Below are 14,241 nucleotides of genomic sequence, written 5' to 3' on the forward strand. Positions count from 1 at the left end.
GTTGCCCAGGCTGGAGTACAATGGCGTGACCTTGGTTCACTGAAACCTCCTGGGTTCAAGCAATTCTCCCTCCTCAGCCTTCCAAGTAGCTAGGATTACATGTGCCCGCCACCATGCCTGGCTAATTTTTTGTATTTTTAGTAGAGATGGGCTTTCACCATGTGGGCCAGGCTGATCTCAAACTTCTGAGCTCAAGCAATCCACCTGCCTTGGCCTCCCAAAGTGCTGGGATTACAGGTGTCAGCCACCGTGCCCAGCCAGAACCTCGTTTTTTTAACCAAGAAAAATCTGCTCCATATTTAGACATTTGTATCATATTTATATATTTAAATAAACCTGATTGCTCCAGGTTATGATGTTACGCTTTGGTTTGTTTTTGTTTTTGTTTTTAATCTTTTAGAGATAAACTTTTTGAAAGGAGGACTATGTTCCCCCTCATGTTGTGGTGTTCTTTTCTAACTTCTCCGCTGAAAAAAGTAACCAGGCAACCTCTTCTCCAGAACCTCCACACTAATAGGACTTCTGCTTGTTCTGATTTACCCTTCAATTCTATTTCCGTGGATAAGTGAGTAGAAACATTATAGACTAGGGATTTTTTTTTCCAAGGTTAAGGACATTGCTGGGAACATTTCCAAGCATCACATTCAATTATTCTGTTTTTATTGATGAGGATTTTGTCCAGCGTTTTTCTGGAGGTTTGAACAGTAAGTTTCTGAGTTAAGGGGATTTGAGTTCACATCCAGTGTCATAATCTGAAAGGAAAAAGGATTGTCATTCTGGGACGTATGCCAGAAGAGCTGGTAAACACTGCAGAGAGACCCAAACAGGCCACACAGTCAACTCAGTCAAGAAGGCTTTATGTGCCAAACTATGCTGGCCTAGGGGAAAAGACATTAAAGTATACTACAAATGGCTTTTAAAAAACAATTTTATTAAGATATAATTTACATATCAAATTATGTATTTTTAACAATGAATAATATCTGAATGAATGAATAAAGAGCTCTGTAAACAACTCTCTCAGTAACTACTCAATTGCAGATAAAGAGGGAAATGGTGCCTTCATCTCCTCCTCCCAAGTACAATGACTGGAGATGCCCTTGTACATATTCAAACTCTGTGGTGGCATACAACATGGGTGAGTTTCAAGCCTAGAATGATGAGTTTAAAAATGAAAAGAATAGAGATTCAGCACTCAAGGAACTCATTTGGAAGCTGTCCTTCATCAAGCCTTCTTGAGATGAGAAGAAATCATCTCTGCTTTTTTTCTGGTCAAGTCTATATACAGCAGATATATACAGCAGTTATTTCTTTCTCTAATTCCAGCAGCTAAATTTCAGACCTAATCATTAATTTTCTCCATTGGCTATGCCTTTTTCTTGATATCTGGTCTTAACAATAGAGCTACAAGAGACAAAGGCAGTCGCACATGGTTGAATTCTCCATCATCAAACTAATTTTATTTTAGAGTTTGCAAAAGAGAGGCATTTATCACGTGGAACAGTTGAAAAGTAACAAAATAAAATCTTACCAGATTTGGCAATCTGTAAGTCACTTATTTTTTTTTCTTTTTTTGGAGGCGGAGTCTCACTCTGTCACGCAGGCTGGGGCGCAATGGCGTGATCTCGGCTCACTGCAACCTCCGCCTACCAATTGAACCAATTTGGTTCAAACAATTCTCCTGCCTCAGCCTCCCAGTTCTCCTGCCTCAGCCTCCCAGCCTCCCAAATAGCTGGGATTACAGGCGCCCGTCACCACACCCAGCTAATTTTTGTATTTTTAGTAGAGACGAAGTTTCACCATGTTGGCCAGGCTGGTCTTGAACTCCTAACCTCAGCCTCAGCCTCGCCTCAGCCTCCCAAAGTGCTAGGATTACAGGCATGAGCCACCATGCCCGGCTTTAAGTCACTTCCAATAATAATTATTCCTCATTATGTAGCTTAAATGTTTACTTCTCCTTAACAACTTTCCTAACCCTGTTTACCTCACTCCCTGACTCAGGCACCATTTTCTGTGCTCCCTGTGCATATTTACATTAAATTACTTATGACGTTACGTGAAAAGTGCCTATTTACTTACCTCTCTTCCCCGTTAGACAATCTGCTCCTTGAGGATATGCTCTGTCTCTCACTTGACTTTGTATCTTGGCCCTTAGGTCAGTACCTAGAATAAAATAGATACTCAACACATGCTTGTTGAATAAATAAATGAATACAAGACACAACTAATATAGGAAAAATAACTAACATGTTAAGTAAACAGGCCATGTCCACAAAAATTTCAAGGGAAAGATTTTAGAAGCAAATATGATTTGACATCTCTGAAACTGACTTTCTTTCTCTTGTAATTTGTGCTTGCAATTTAAATTTGTACCTGGACTTTTAAAAGACATTTCTGTGATAAGTCATGATGACTATGGCATTTGCCATCATTTAACAGATTAGAAATACAAGGCTTGTCCCTTAAAGGAAATCATTTTTGAACTGTGGCTTCTTCATAGTAAAAAAAGATTCTACTAAAATCTTTAGAAATGTAAAAGAAAATATTTAGCCTAGTAACGCTTTCTCTCATTATTCATGATGTGCTACATAATCAACTCTATTCATTTCTCTCTCAGAGTCTTGTGACTGATTAGAAAAGAGAGAGGTTGAGGCCAGGCACAGTGGCTCACACCTGTAATCCCAGCACTTTGGGAGGTGGAAGTGAGAGGACTGCTTGAGCCCAAGAGTTTGAGACCAGCCTGGGCAACATAGTGAGATTCCATCTCTATTAAAAAAAAATTTTTTTAAGAGGAGTTGGAATGTATGACTGGGAACCTGTTTAACTTACTATGAGGTTAATATTGGATACTTAGTTCTGATAATTCGCTGGTCTCAGTTATTACATCTCACTTTTCCTCATAGCAGTGCCATTCCTAAGTTATGTTTTGCTTTAGACTCTGGGGAAAAATATACTTCTGATCATCTAGCAAACCTTTATCCACTGTCACCAAGTCAATGTAAAACCAGTGTTAGCAGCAGGGCCGAGAAGCTGGGTTTTTAATAGTAGCGGTAGTGGTGGGGCCAATAGATACGGCCCGAAAGTAGGATTATTTTCTTTTCTGGAAAGAACTTAACCCCATCCTTTCACTTCCCAAAAGATTTACATTTAAAAGTGAGATGCTGGTTTTTGTCCCAGAATAGTAAGCCAACTACTTCCCACTCAATTTCCCAGCAGATAATTCTGTATTACCAGCATGTTCTGTGGAGGAAATTCAGTTTCTGGGTAGAAAGGGAAGTCCTCTAAGGAAATGGGGAGGAAAGAAGTGAGATAAGAAAAATTTTTCTTTTTTTTCTTTTTTCTTTTTTTTATTAAATAGGGACAGGGACTCACTATGTTGCCCAGACTGGTCTCAAACTCCTAGGCTCAGGGGATCCTCCTTCCTTGGTGTCCTAAAGTCCTGGGATTACAGGCATGAGCCACCATGCCCTGCCAAGTTTGTTTGTTTGTTTGTGACAGAGCCTCACTCTGTCACCCAGGCTGGAGTACAGTGGCACGATCTTAGCTCACTGCAACTTCCGCCTCCCAGGTTCAAGCGATTCTCCTGCCTCAGCCTCCAGAGTAGCTGGAATTACATGTGCAAGCCACCATGCCAAGCTAATTTTTGTATTTTTAGTAGAGATGGGGTTTCACTATGTTGGCCAGGCTGGTCTCAAACTCCCGACCTCAAGTGATCCACCTGCCTCGCCTTCCAGAGTACTAGGATTACAGGCATAAGCCACCGCACCTGGGCCAAGTTTTTTTTTTTTTTTTTAAGGAAGTGTTGATGGAAGAAATAAATGAAGTTGTAAATATTGGCAAGTAAAAAAGAAAGCAACAGGCAAGGTGCAGTGGCTCACACCTATAATCCCAGCCCTTCGGTAGGCCAAGAAGGGTGGATCACTTGAGCTCAGGAGTGTGAAACCAGCCTGGGCAACATGGCAAAACTCTATCTCTACCAAAAATACAAAAATTAGCCGGGTGTGGTGGCTCATGCCTGTAGTCCCAGCTACTTGTGGGGCTAAGGCAGGAGGATCGCTTGAACCCAGGAGGTCAAGGCTGCAGTGAGCTATGACCATGCCACAGCACTCCAGCCTAGGTGACAAAGTGAGACCCTGAGGTCCTGTCTCAAAAAAAAAAAAAAAGAAGAAGAAGAAGAAGGCAACAAAGAGAAGGAGAAGAAATTAGACGATAGGTATTATGTTACATAAACTGTTTAAAGATAAAGGAAAGACTTTTTTTTTTCAGTTCTCCCCACCATTAGAAGATGTATAACGTAGGGATTCTATAGCAATGGTATCTAGCTCAGGTGCCAGGCCATCTTAGGTTTAAATTCTCACTCTGTTGGGAGGCCAAGGCAGGCAGTTCACTTGACAGGAGTTTGAGACCAGCCTGGCCAACATGGTGAAACCCCGTCTCTACTAAAAATACAAAAACTGGCGAGGCGAGGTGGTGCATGGCTATAATCCCAGCTCCTAGAGAGGCTGAGGCTCGAAAATCACTTGAACCCAGGAGGCACAGGTTGCAGTGAGCCAAGATCATGCCATTACCCTCCAGCCTGGATGACAGAGAGACATGGTCTCAAAAAAGTAATAATAATAAATAAATAAATAAATCCTCACTCTGCCACTTGCTAGGCTTCTCAGAGCCTCAGTTTCTTCATTCGTAAATGAGGTGATAATAGTAGTTTCTATGTTGAAGTGTTTTTTTGTTTTGTTTTTTTGTTTTTGTTTTTGTTTGAAATGGAGTCTCGCTCTGTTGCCCAGGCTGGAATGCAGTGGCGCAATCTCAGCTCACTGCAACCTCCGCCTCCCAAGTTCAAGAGATTCTCCTGCCTCAGCCTCTTGAGAGCTGGGACTATAGGCATGTGCCACCACGCCTGGCCAGTTTTTGTATTTTTAGTAGAGACGGGTTGCTCTTATATTAAGTTAGTAATTATAAGAAGTTATTACCTCCTATAATTATAGAATTATAGTAAGTTAATTAACTCTCATAGTAAGTTAGTAGAGACCAGTAGACACTGGTGTTTTTATTTATTTATTTTTTATTGTTTTTATTTATTTTATTTATTTTGTATTTATTTATTTATTTATTTTTGGGATGGAGTCTCCCTCTGTCGTCCAGGCTGGAGTGCATGTTGGCCAGGCTGGTCTTGGACTCCTGACCTCAGGTGATCCACCCACCTCGGCCTCCCAAAGTGCTGGGATTACAGGCGTCAGCCACCGTGCCCGGCCTGAAGTGTTGTTTTAAAGATTAAATGAGATAATTTACATGATGATATTTGCATAGTATTCAACAAATATTGGCCATTATTATTGTTTTTAGGTATTCTGCCATGTGGTCCTTAAACATTGATAGTCCCCTTTTTATTTCATTTCCTTGGAAGTGAAAAGATTGTAAAGGAAGAGGCACAAATCCATGAAATGAAGTTTCTCGAGAGTAAGGACCGTATCCAATTTATTACTGTATTTCCACTACCTAGCATAGTGCTTAGCAGACAGTAAATATTTGTTAAGGAAATAGAAGAACCACTAATATAAAACATAACTTTGATTATAAGTGTTATGGTTGAATTGTGTCCTGTCAAATTCCCATGTTGAAGTTCTTGCCCCCAGTACTTCAGAATGTGACCTTGTTTGGAAATAGGGTTATTGATATAATTAAGGTAAGGTCATGCTAGAATGGGATGGGCCCCTAATCTAATATGACTGGTGTTTTTATTTATTTTATTTATTTTGTATTTATTTATTTATTTATTTTTGGGATGGAGTCTCCCTCTGTCGTCCAGGCTGGAGTGCAGTGGCACTATCTCAGCTCACCACAACCTCCACCTCACAGGTTCAAGCGATTCTCCTGCCTCAGCCTCCTAAGTAGCTGGGATTACAGGCATGTGCTGCCACACCTGGCTAATTTTGTGTTTTTAGTAGAGACAGGGTTTCGCCATGTTGGTCAGGCTGGTCTCGAACTCCTGACCTCAGGTGATCCACCCGCCTCGGCCTCCCAAAATGTTGGGATTACAGGTGTGAGCCACCGCCCCTGGCCTGCTGTTTTTATTAAAAGGGGAAATTTGGGGACAAACATGCACACTAGGGAGAACGCCACGTGAAGATGGAGGCAGAAGGTAATGCATTTGCAAGCCAAGAAATGGGAAAGATTGTCAACAAAGCACAAGGAGCTAAGGGAGAGGCATGAAGCAAATTCTTTCTCACAGCTCTCAGAAGAAACAAACCCTGTCAATACCTTGATCTTGAACTTCTAGCCTCCAGAACTATGAGACAAACTATTTCTGTCGTTTAAGCCACCCAGTTTGTGATACTTTGTTATGGCAACCCTACCAAACTAAGACAACAAGTCAGTACTATCATCATCTTCATATGCTGTGATTTTGACTGGTTTAAATCTAGTCTGAAAGAGAAGATTTTGTCTGTATTATTTTATGTAAGCAGGCATTATTCAAACCAAACAAAAGCAAGCACAAAGCGAAAATGCTCTTTGGTTAGGCACAATTCTAAAAAGATATCTAAGTAAGGTTTTTGGGGACCAGCATCATATTACTAAGTTCTGTGCCAGGAACATGCTTAATTCCTGACATAAATGCTAAATTGGTTGATACAGTAAGCAGACTGAGAACAACAGCAGAACAGTTTTCATTGTTTAATTTTACTCAAGTCAAAATTCTGTAACCACCTTTAATACTATTACAAAAACATTGTAAAAGGTTTACAGGGCAGCTAACACAAGTAAACAAAGCTTCTGATTATGGCAGTATTTCCTTTTAATTCTTAAGAATAACAGACTATAAATGTAACAATAAACTATAAAGGGCCGGGCACGGTGGTTCACGCCTGTAATCCCAGCACTTTGGGAGGCCGAGATGGGTGGATCACCTGAGGTCAGGAGTTCGAGATCAGCTTGGCCAACATGGTGAAACCCCATCTCTACTAAAAATACAAAAATTAGTCGGGCATGGTGGCGGGCGCCTGTAGTCCAGCTGCTCGGGAGGCTGAGGCAGGAGAATCACTTGAACCCAGGAGGCAGAGGTTTCAGTGAGCCGAGATGGAGCCACTGCACTCCAGCCTGGATGACAGAGCCAGACTCTGTCTCAAAAAAAAAAAAAAAAAACTATAAAGAACAGTCCAACTTCTTTGACTTAATCCTTTTGTTGCATTGAATCGCATTTGAATTAAGCAGATGCTTGGGTAGAGCATTATATAGATTTGACATTGATATGAAATTAGAAAAGTTAAAGTATTTTCATGAATATTCTAACTTCAAGGGGCATAATGCCGAAGAGTGCCCAGCAAGTGGTTATCTATAGAAGACAGTCAATAGGTACTGAATGGATGCATGAAAAAAAATGAATGGATTAAGAGAGCAGATTACTTTAGAAAAAATTGTGTTACCTAGGAGTAATTAACAGGAATTTTTGTGGAGTAATAATTGTCCTGGAATCATGTTTGTTATTTCCATCCTTTTTAGGGAAAACTAGAGGACTCAAAGAGACAGCCAGTCAGAAAGAACATAAGAAACTTAAGAGAACATCTGGTTAGAGATGCATTATTAAATTCAGCACTAATTCTATAGAGTCTATCATTGAAAAATCATCAAACTGTTAATGCTAGAAAGGTAGAATATTCCAGCCCAATGCAGCCGATAGACTGCTGAAACAAACACAGTAACACAATGTGGCTTCCTTAATATCTAAGAGACCTGCAGAGCTAGTTAGACAATAAGTTTCTGAGATTTAAAACAAGTCTTACCATGAACAGAAACTCATAATGAAATGATGGATTTCCGTGTTGTAGAACTCTTTAGCATCAGAAAAAGATTCAAAGTTTCTGAGAAGATTCACTTTGCAAATATTTTAGCACAATTACTCATTATATGAGCATTCTTGTCTATCATAGAAAAAAATGTGTTATTTAAAACCCAGAATGACTACAGCTGCTTCATTCTTCTAAGGTGGAGTGGCTGAATTCTATCAATGGGAAAATTCCTCTCTACGTTGTTTCTTTCCATTTGCAGAGGCAGGTAGAAGAAGAAGAAAACAGAGATTGAAATTTCAAAGTTTGGTTTTTTGTTTGTTTGTTTGTTTGTTTGTTTGTTTGTTTTGAGACAGAGTCTCACTGTGTCATCCAGGCTGGAGTGCCGTGGCACAATCTCAGTTCACCGCAGCCTCTGCCTCCCATGTTCAAGCAATTCTCGTGCCTCGATCTCCCGAGTAGCTGGGATTACAGGCGTGCGCCACCACACCTGGCTAATTTTTGTATTTTTAATAGACATGAGGTTTCACGATGTTGGTCAAGCTGGTCTCAAACTCCTGGCCTCAAATGATCTGCCTACCTTGGCCTTCCAAAGTGCTGGGATTACAGGCGTTAGCCACTGTGCTAGGTCTAAATTTCAAAGTTTCTGCCAATAATTCTGTGCCCCAGAAAAGTAAGACCCAAAGTAGATGGCCTCTAATTTAGCAGAGCATGTGATGAGTTTGTTTATTTGTTTGTTTGTTTGTTTTTGAGACGGAGTCTCGCTCTGTCACCCAGGCTGGAGTGCAGTGGCGCGATCTCGGCTCCACCTGCAGGGTTCACGCCATTCTCCTGCGTCAGCCTCCCGAGTAGCTGGGACTACAGGCGCCCACCACCACGCCGGGCTAATTTTTTGAATTTTTTAGTAGAGACGGGTTTCACCGTGTTAGCCAGGATGGTCTCAATCTTCTGACCTCGTGATCCGCCTGCCTCGGCCTCCCAAAGTTCTGGGATTACAGGTGTGAGCCACCGCGCCCGGCTCATGTGATGAGTTTTGATATGCAAAAGTAAACCAGAGTCCCTAAGTAGGTGGAAAACTAAATTAATTAGAAAATTAAGCTGTGGGAATTGTGATGAAGTGCTTTTTCCTGAAGATATTAGCCTGGAGAATGAAACCAGAGATTGCTGACCATGGAAGGTGACCAGTAAAAAATTCCAGTAGATGGAATTGCTGAGGATGTCAAAAACAAGAATATCTAATGATTCATTTTAAGATGTTTCACCAGAGTAATATAAAATCTATTCCCTCAGTCTGAATCTTCAATAAAATTTAACACACACAAAGTTTAGTGTGTATTATGGGAGTGGATTTTTTTTAAATAAATTGAGATAAAGAAGTCATGTTCCACAGCTGGATCTGCACAGTGTTCAAGAGTTCTGTATCAGGAAGTTGGATTTGGAGAAAGTCATTCTGAGGAAATTCAAAGAAATATCGAGAGGATATTAGATCTTCCGCCAACTGTGAGATGAGGGTTAACTCAGTTTTTGGTATGTTCAAGGGCAGAATCTATCAATTAAGATGACTTTGGTTGCAAGTAACAGAAAACCTTAATTCAACTTGACTTAAATAATAAGAGAGTTTAATATCTACATAACAGGAAGTATGGAGGAAGGGCAGGAAATATGGAGGAAGGGTTGATTGACATCAAGGATGCAGATTCTTTCAATATGTTCCTCTGACATTTCCAGCTGAGAGCAAAGTGGCTATAGCTGTGCCTGTCAACACATCCACACAGAACATCCAGAGGAAGGAAAGAGGCCATTTATTAACATCTCCTTTTGAAAAATTTGGAAACCTTTTCAAGAAGCAACTCAACAGAGTTTCTTACACATCTAATTGGCCAGAGCTATATCACATGCCTGCCATTAAACCATTCTTTTGGCAAGAGGGATTGCTCCTATTCTGAAACACCTTAATTGTCTTAGACCAATCAGGATTTACTTCTTAGTGTCACCTTTACCTGAGTCACAAGGGGGATAAGTCGATACCTAACAAAATCAGGGTTTTAGGTATGTAGTGTGACCTCCACTGATATTTGAGTCTCAAGGAAAACAATACATTGCAGAATGATTGTGTTAATATATATATGTGAAATATTGTGTATTTATCTTAGAGGAGTTTGGGAAACCATTTATGTAAACTACTTGGATTGGGCAACTTGAAATAATATTAAGGCTACTTTGATTAGTAGTTATATAGTCATAAATAATGGTTTCAGTGGTTTTTTCAACAGAAAACTTCTTTCTTTATATGAAAATAAGAGAAACAGAGCCTCAAAGTTGATTTTTCCCTAGTATAAAGGAGTTAGAACACATTTAAGATGTGTTCAGTTTAAGGTATCACATTTTATGAAAACTGACAAAACTAGAATGTGTCACAGAAATCATATACTATGAGGATTAGAAAAATAAGCTGGAAATGTTTAACTTGGGAAAAAAGTGTTTGAAAGAATATAACAGAATCTTCATTTGTTTGAAGAGTTGGTGTGTGAAATAGAATATAGACTTACTCTGAGTAGTTCCAAAGGTTAGAAGAAGAACAAATGTCTGGAAATTACAGTGAGATATTCTTCAGTTCAAAATAGCATAGACCTATCTAAAATAATTAAAGCTGCCCCTGAGCTTTCTCATAAAATATTGATTTCCCCATTGGAAATTTCCAAGAAGACCGTATATGACCATCTAGCAGCAATGTTGTTGAGAGATTCTTGCTTTGGGTGGGAAACCAGACCAGGTCAAAGTGACTTTGTAACCATGGTCTGCAACCTACTATGAGGTAGGTTGTGGTTAACCTATGAGCTGTGATGGTTAATTTTATGTGTCATCTTGGCTGAGCCATAAAGTGCCCAAATAGTTGGTTAATTATTATTCTGGGTGTGTCTGTGAGGTTGGTGCTGGATGACATTAACATTTGAATCAGAAGATTGAATAAAGCAAGTTGTCCTATCTACTATGGGTAGCCCTTGTCCAAACAGTTGAAGGCCTGAATAGAACAGAAGACTGATCCTCCCTCAAGTAAGAGGGAACTCCTGTCTGACTGCTTTGAACTGGGACATTAATCTTTCCCTCTTCCAGTCTTGAATTGAAACACTGGCTGTTTTGGGGTCTTGAGCCAGCTGTTTTTCAGACTGGAACTTACACCATCAGCTCTCCTGGTTCTCAGGCTCTCAGGCTCAGACAAACTATACATTGGCTCTCCTGGGTCTCCAGCTCATTGCCTGCAGATCTCGGGACTTCTCAGCCTCAATTATTGCGTGAGCCAATCTTTTTTTCTCTCTCTCTCTGTTGGTTCTGTTTCTCTGCAGAACCCTATGACATGGGCTGAGAACTTCTCCCAAAGCAAGTTCTTTCTTCAGTTCTTATAGGTAAATCGAGTATGTTCTCTAGATTATCGTTTTTACTTCCTGCTGGGCTTTGAGAATGACTAGAATTATGGTTCTACTTCAATTTTTATTGTTTCATTCATCATCAGAGTTCTTTTTTTTGTTTTGTTTTGTTTTGTTTAGAAACACAGAGTTCTTTTTACTAGAAAATTGAAACAGGTAAGCTACAAGGTCTTTTGCCCTACCCCCAAGAATCATGGTAAACAATTTTTTTTTTTTAGAAATTCTCTCCAGAAAACCACTTCAAAAGTCTCCTACAACTTTGAAATCTCATTATTACATTTACTTATTGCTTCCAATTGTTTTTCTTCCTTTGTGACTTCTAGCTGTATTTTTTGTGCTCAAAAAAAATAAAAAAGCTTAAGCACAAAGAGTCAGAAGTAGAATAGAAGGAACAGAGTTACAGATTGTATTTTTAAACAACAATAAAAGGGTTATTTTTAATAACCATTTCAAAAATACAGAGACATTTTGGATTTTGACTTCAAGTTTCATTTAATAAAATTTAGCAAATAGAAGAATGCTAGTGTATTAAACACCTACGTGTAGTTAAATTTTTAGTTTAACATTGAGAAACCTCATGTACATTCAAAAGGAACAGATAATTCCAATCTCATTCTCTTTGACAGTGATTAGTTTGTGGCTCATAGCAAGAACAAAGGAGAAAATGAAACTATTATTCTGTGCTGTATAAATCTACTCCACCCTGATGACTTCTGCTGAGCATGGAGGTGGAACCGGGTGAATGGTGGTACACAGATAACATTCCAGTTGCTATATTTGTGCACACACAAAAGGGTGTGCCCACAATTCTCTATCTAGGTTTAAGGGCAAATTAGAAGATTCCAGACTTAATACCAAAAAAGCACTAAAAAAAAATCAAAATCCAAGATAGCATTATGCAGTACTTATGAGATGCCATACAGAATGAACTATTGAATAAGTTAAAATCCAAATTTCATCAAATTGTATAACTGCAGAATATAATCATTTTGTAAACTGTATTGAGCTTTAAAAATATATACTTTCTCGTTTCAGGGTGATTTGCATAGAGTTGCCTACTGTCATTATTTTGAGTCTTTCAAGAGAAAAATAAAATTTTTATTCCTTTCTAAAATGTTGGTCTTTATACCAGTGCAAATTGACTCTAGTGGTTTGCTTGCTATCAACAATTATGTGACATATCCAAGTTCTTCTCAGCCTCATACTCTATGAAAATGTCAAGTATTCGCTACATAATGGGCTATACTGTCTTCAGTGCTTTTCTGTTGTCTTCTTCATCTCCAAATCATGAGGTTTACTTAATGTCATAAGTTTTCCCTTCTTTGGGATTGTCAGGATCCTCTCCTTTGTTCACTGTGGTCGATAGAATAATGTCTGTTGACCTCCCCAGTGTTGTCTATGTCCTACTCCCTGGAACCTGAAACTATGTTAGATTATATAGGAAAGGAATGAATGTTGGAAATGGAATTAAGGTTGATAATCAGCTGGCTTTAAAATAGGAAGTTATCCTGGATTATCCTATAATCACAAGAACCCTTAAAAGCGGAAGAGGGAATTGGAGAACCAGAGAAACTGCAGCATGGGAAGGGCTTGGCTTGGTATTGCTGGATTTGAAAGTGAAGGAAGGAGGCCATGAGTCAAGGAAATCAGGCAGCCTCTAGGCTACACCCTGCTCACACTGATCTGAGCCCAGTAAGATCCATGTTGGACTTTTGAATTCAATAAAGAACTCTAAGATAATACACTTTTTGTTGTTTTAAGCCATTAAGTTTGTGGTAATTGATCACGGCAGCAATAGAAAACTAATATATTTGGGTTTTGTTGTTACTGTTTGTTTGTTTTTTAAGATGTAGTCTCGCCCTGTTTCCCAGGCTGGAGTGCAATGGCACAATCTTGGCTCACTGCCACCTCTGCCTCCCGGGTTCAAGCAATTCTCCTGCCTCAGCCTCCTGAGTAGCTGGGACTACAGGCGTGTGCCACCATGCCTGGCTAATTTTTGTATTTTTAGTAGAGACGGGGTTTTACCATGTTCACCAGGCTGGTCCCAAACTCCTGACCTCATGTGATCCACCTGCCTTGGCCTCCCAAAGTGTTGGGATTACAGGAGTGAGCCAGGGCGCCTGGCCGTAATATATTTGTTTTGTTTTTGGCCTTTCCTCTGCACTGATTCCTTTTCTGTTGAAATCCTTAATAGCCTTCAGGCCAAATCCAAGGATCATAGAACATGTTCACCCTCCCTTGACTCCTTTATTTCTGTCAAAAAAATTAATTAAGGAAACTACTGAATAACCCTGAAATCAACAAAGGTGCCATTGTTATAAAGGTATAAAGGTATGCAACTTTTAAAAATTGACTTAGAAACAAGGACATAAGTGAAATGCCATTTGCCTATAGTTCTAAAGCCTTTCAATAATTTATTTAACGCCTATAAAATATTCAGCACAGCACCCTAGGGAAGTTAAAAATTGGGACAATACACATGGCAAAGTTCTTGGGAATACACAGAAGGCACCTGTGTTGATCAAGTGACTGCTGACAAGAGAAGACGTAGGGATTGAGAGAGACAGGCAGTGAAGAGCAGATGGAGTAGGAGATAGAGAAAGTTTAAGGGATGATTTCCGGGAAAGAAGAAAAAGAAAAGGGTAGAAAACAAAGAGAGGAAGAGAATGTGGCAAAGATAAGATCTCTCAGGAGATCTGCTCTCTTGACCATAATAAGCACCCAACAAGTATTTACAGAATGACTGATTTGAGGGACTCTGATTTCTTCCAAGAGGAAAGACAGGAAATAAGCTAATTCTATTCAACATACGTTTTAGACATGATTACAGTCTAAACAAAATTTTACATTTTCTAGGATTTCATTCTATATTACAGAAGTTTATTAATTATGTATGAATTCTCAGTAACTACTGATAAGGGATCCACCAATGCTTTCCTTCAGAAAGCATTCAGATATGGAGTGTAAACAAATACTTTTAATTACTCTTTCACTCATTACATAAAAGACTTTGGGCTTCTAACTGAAGAAGTTAT

At 39.4% G+C, this 14,241-nt stretch overlaps 1 protein-coding gene across 1 annotated transcript in view; it reads left to right on the forward strand.

Moving 5' to 3' along the window:
* Nucleotides 1–14,241, forward strand: part of YAE1 (YAE1 maturation factor of ABCE1) — a 45,686-nt gene that overhangs the window by 28,233 nt on the left and 3,212 nt on the right. The window lies entirely within an intron of this gene.

The sequence above is a fragment of the Homo sapiens genome, chromosome 7 (assembly GCF_000001405.40).
Source record: "Homo sapiens chromosome 7, GRCh38.p14 Primary Assembly".
NCBI lineage: Eukaryota > Metazoa > Chordata > Mammalia > Primates > Hominidae > Homo > Homo sapiens.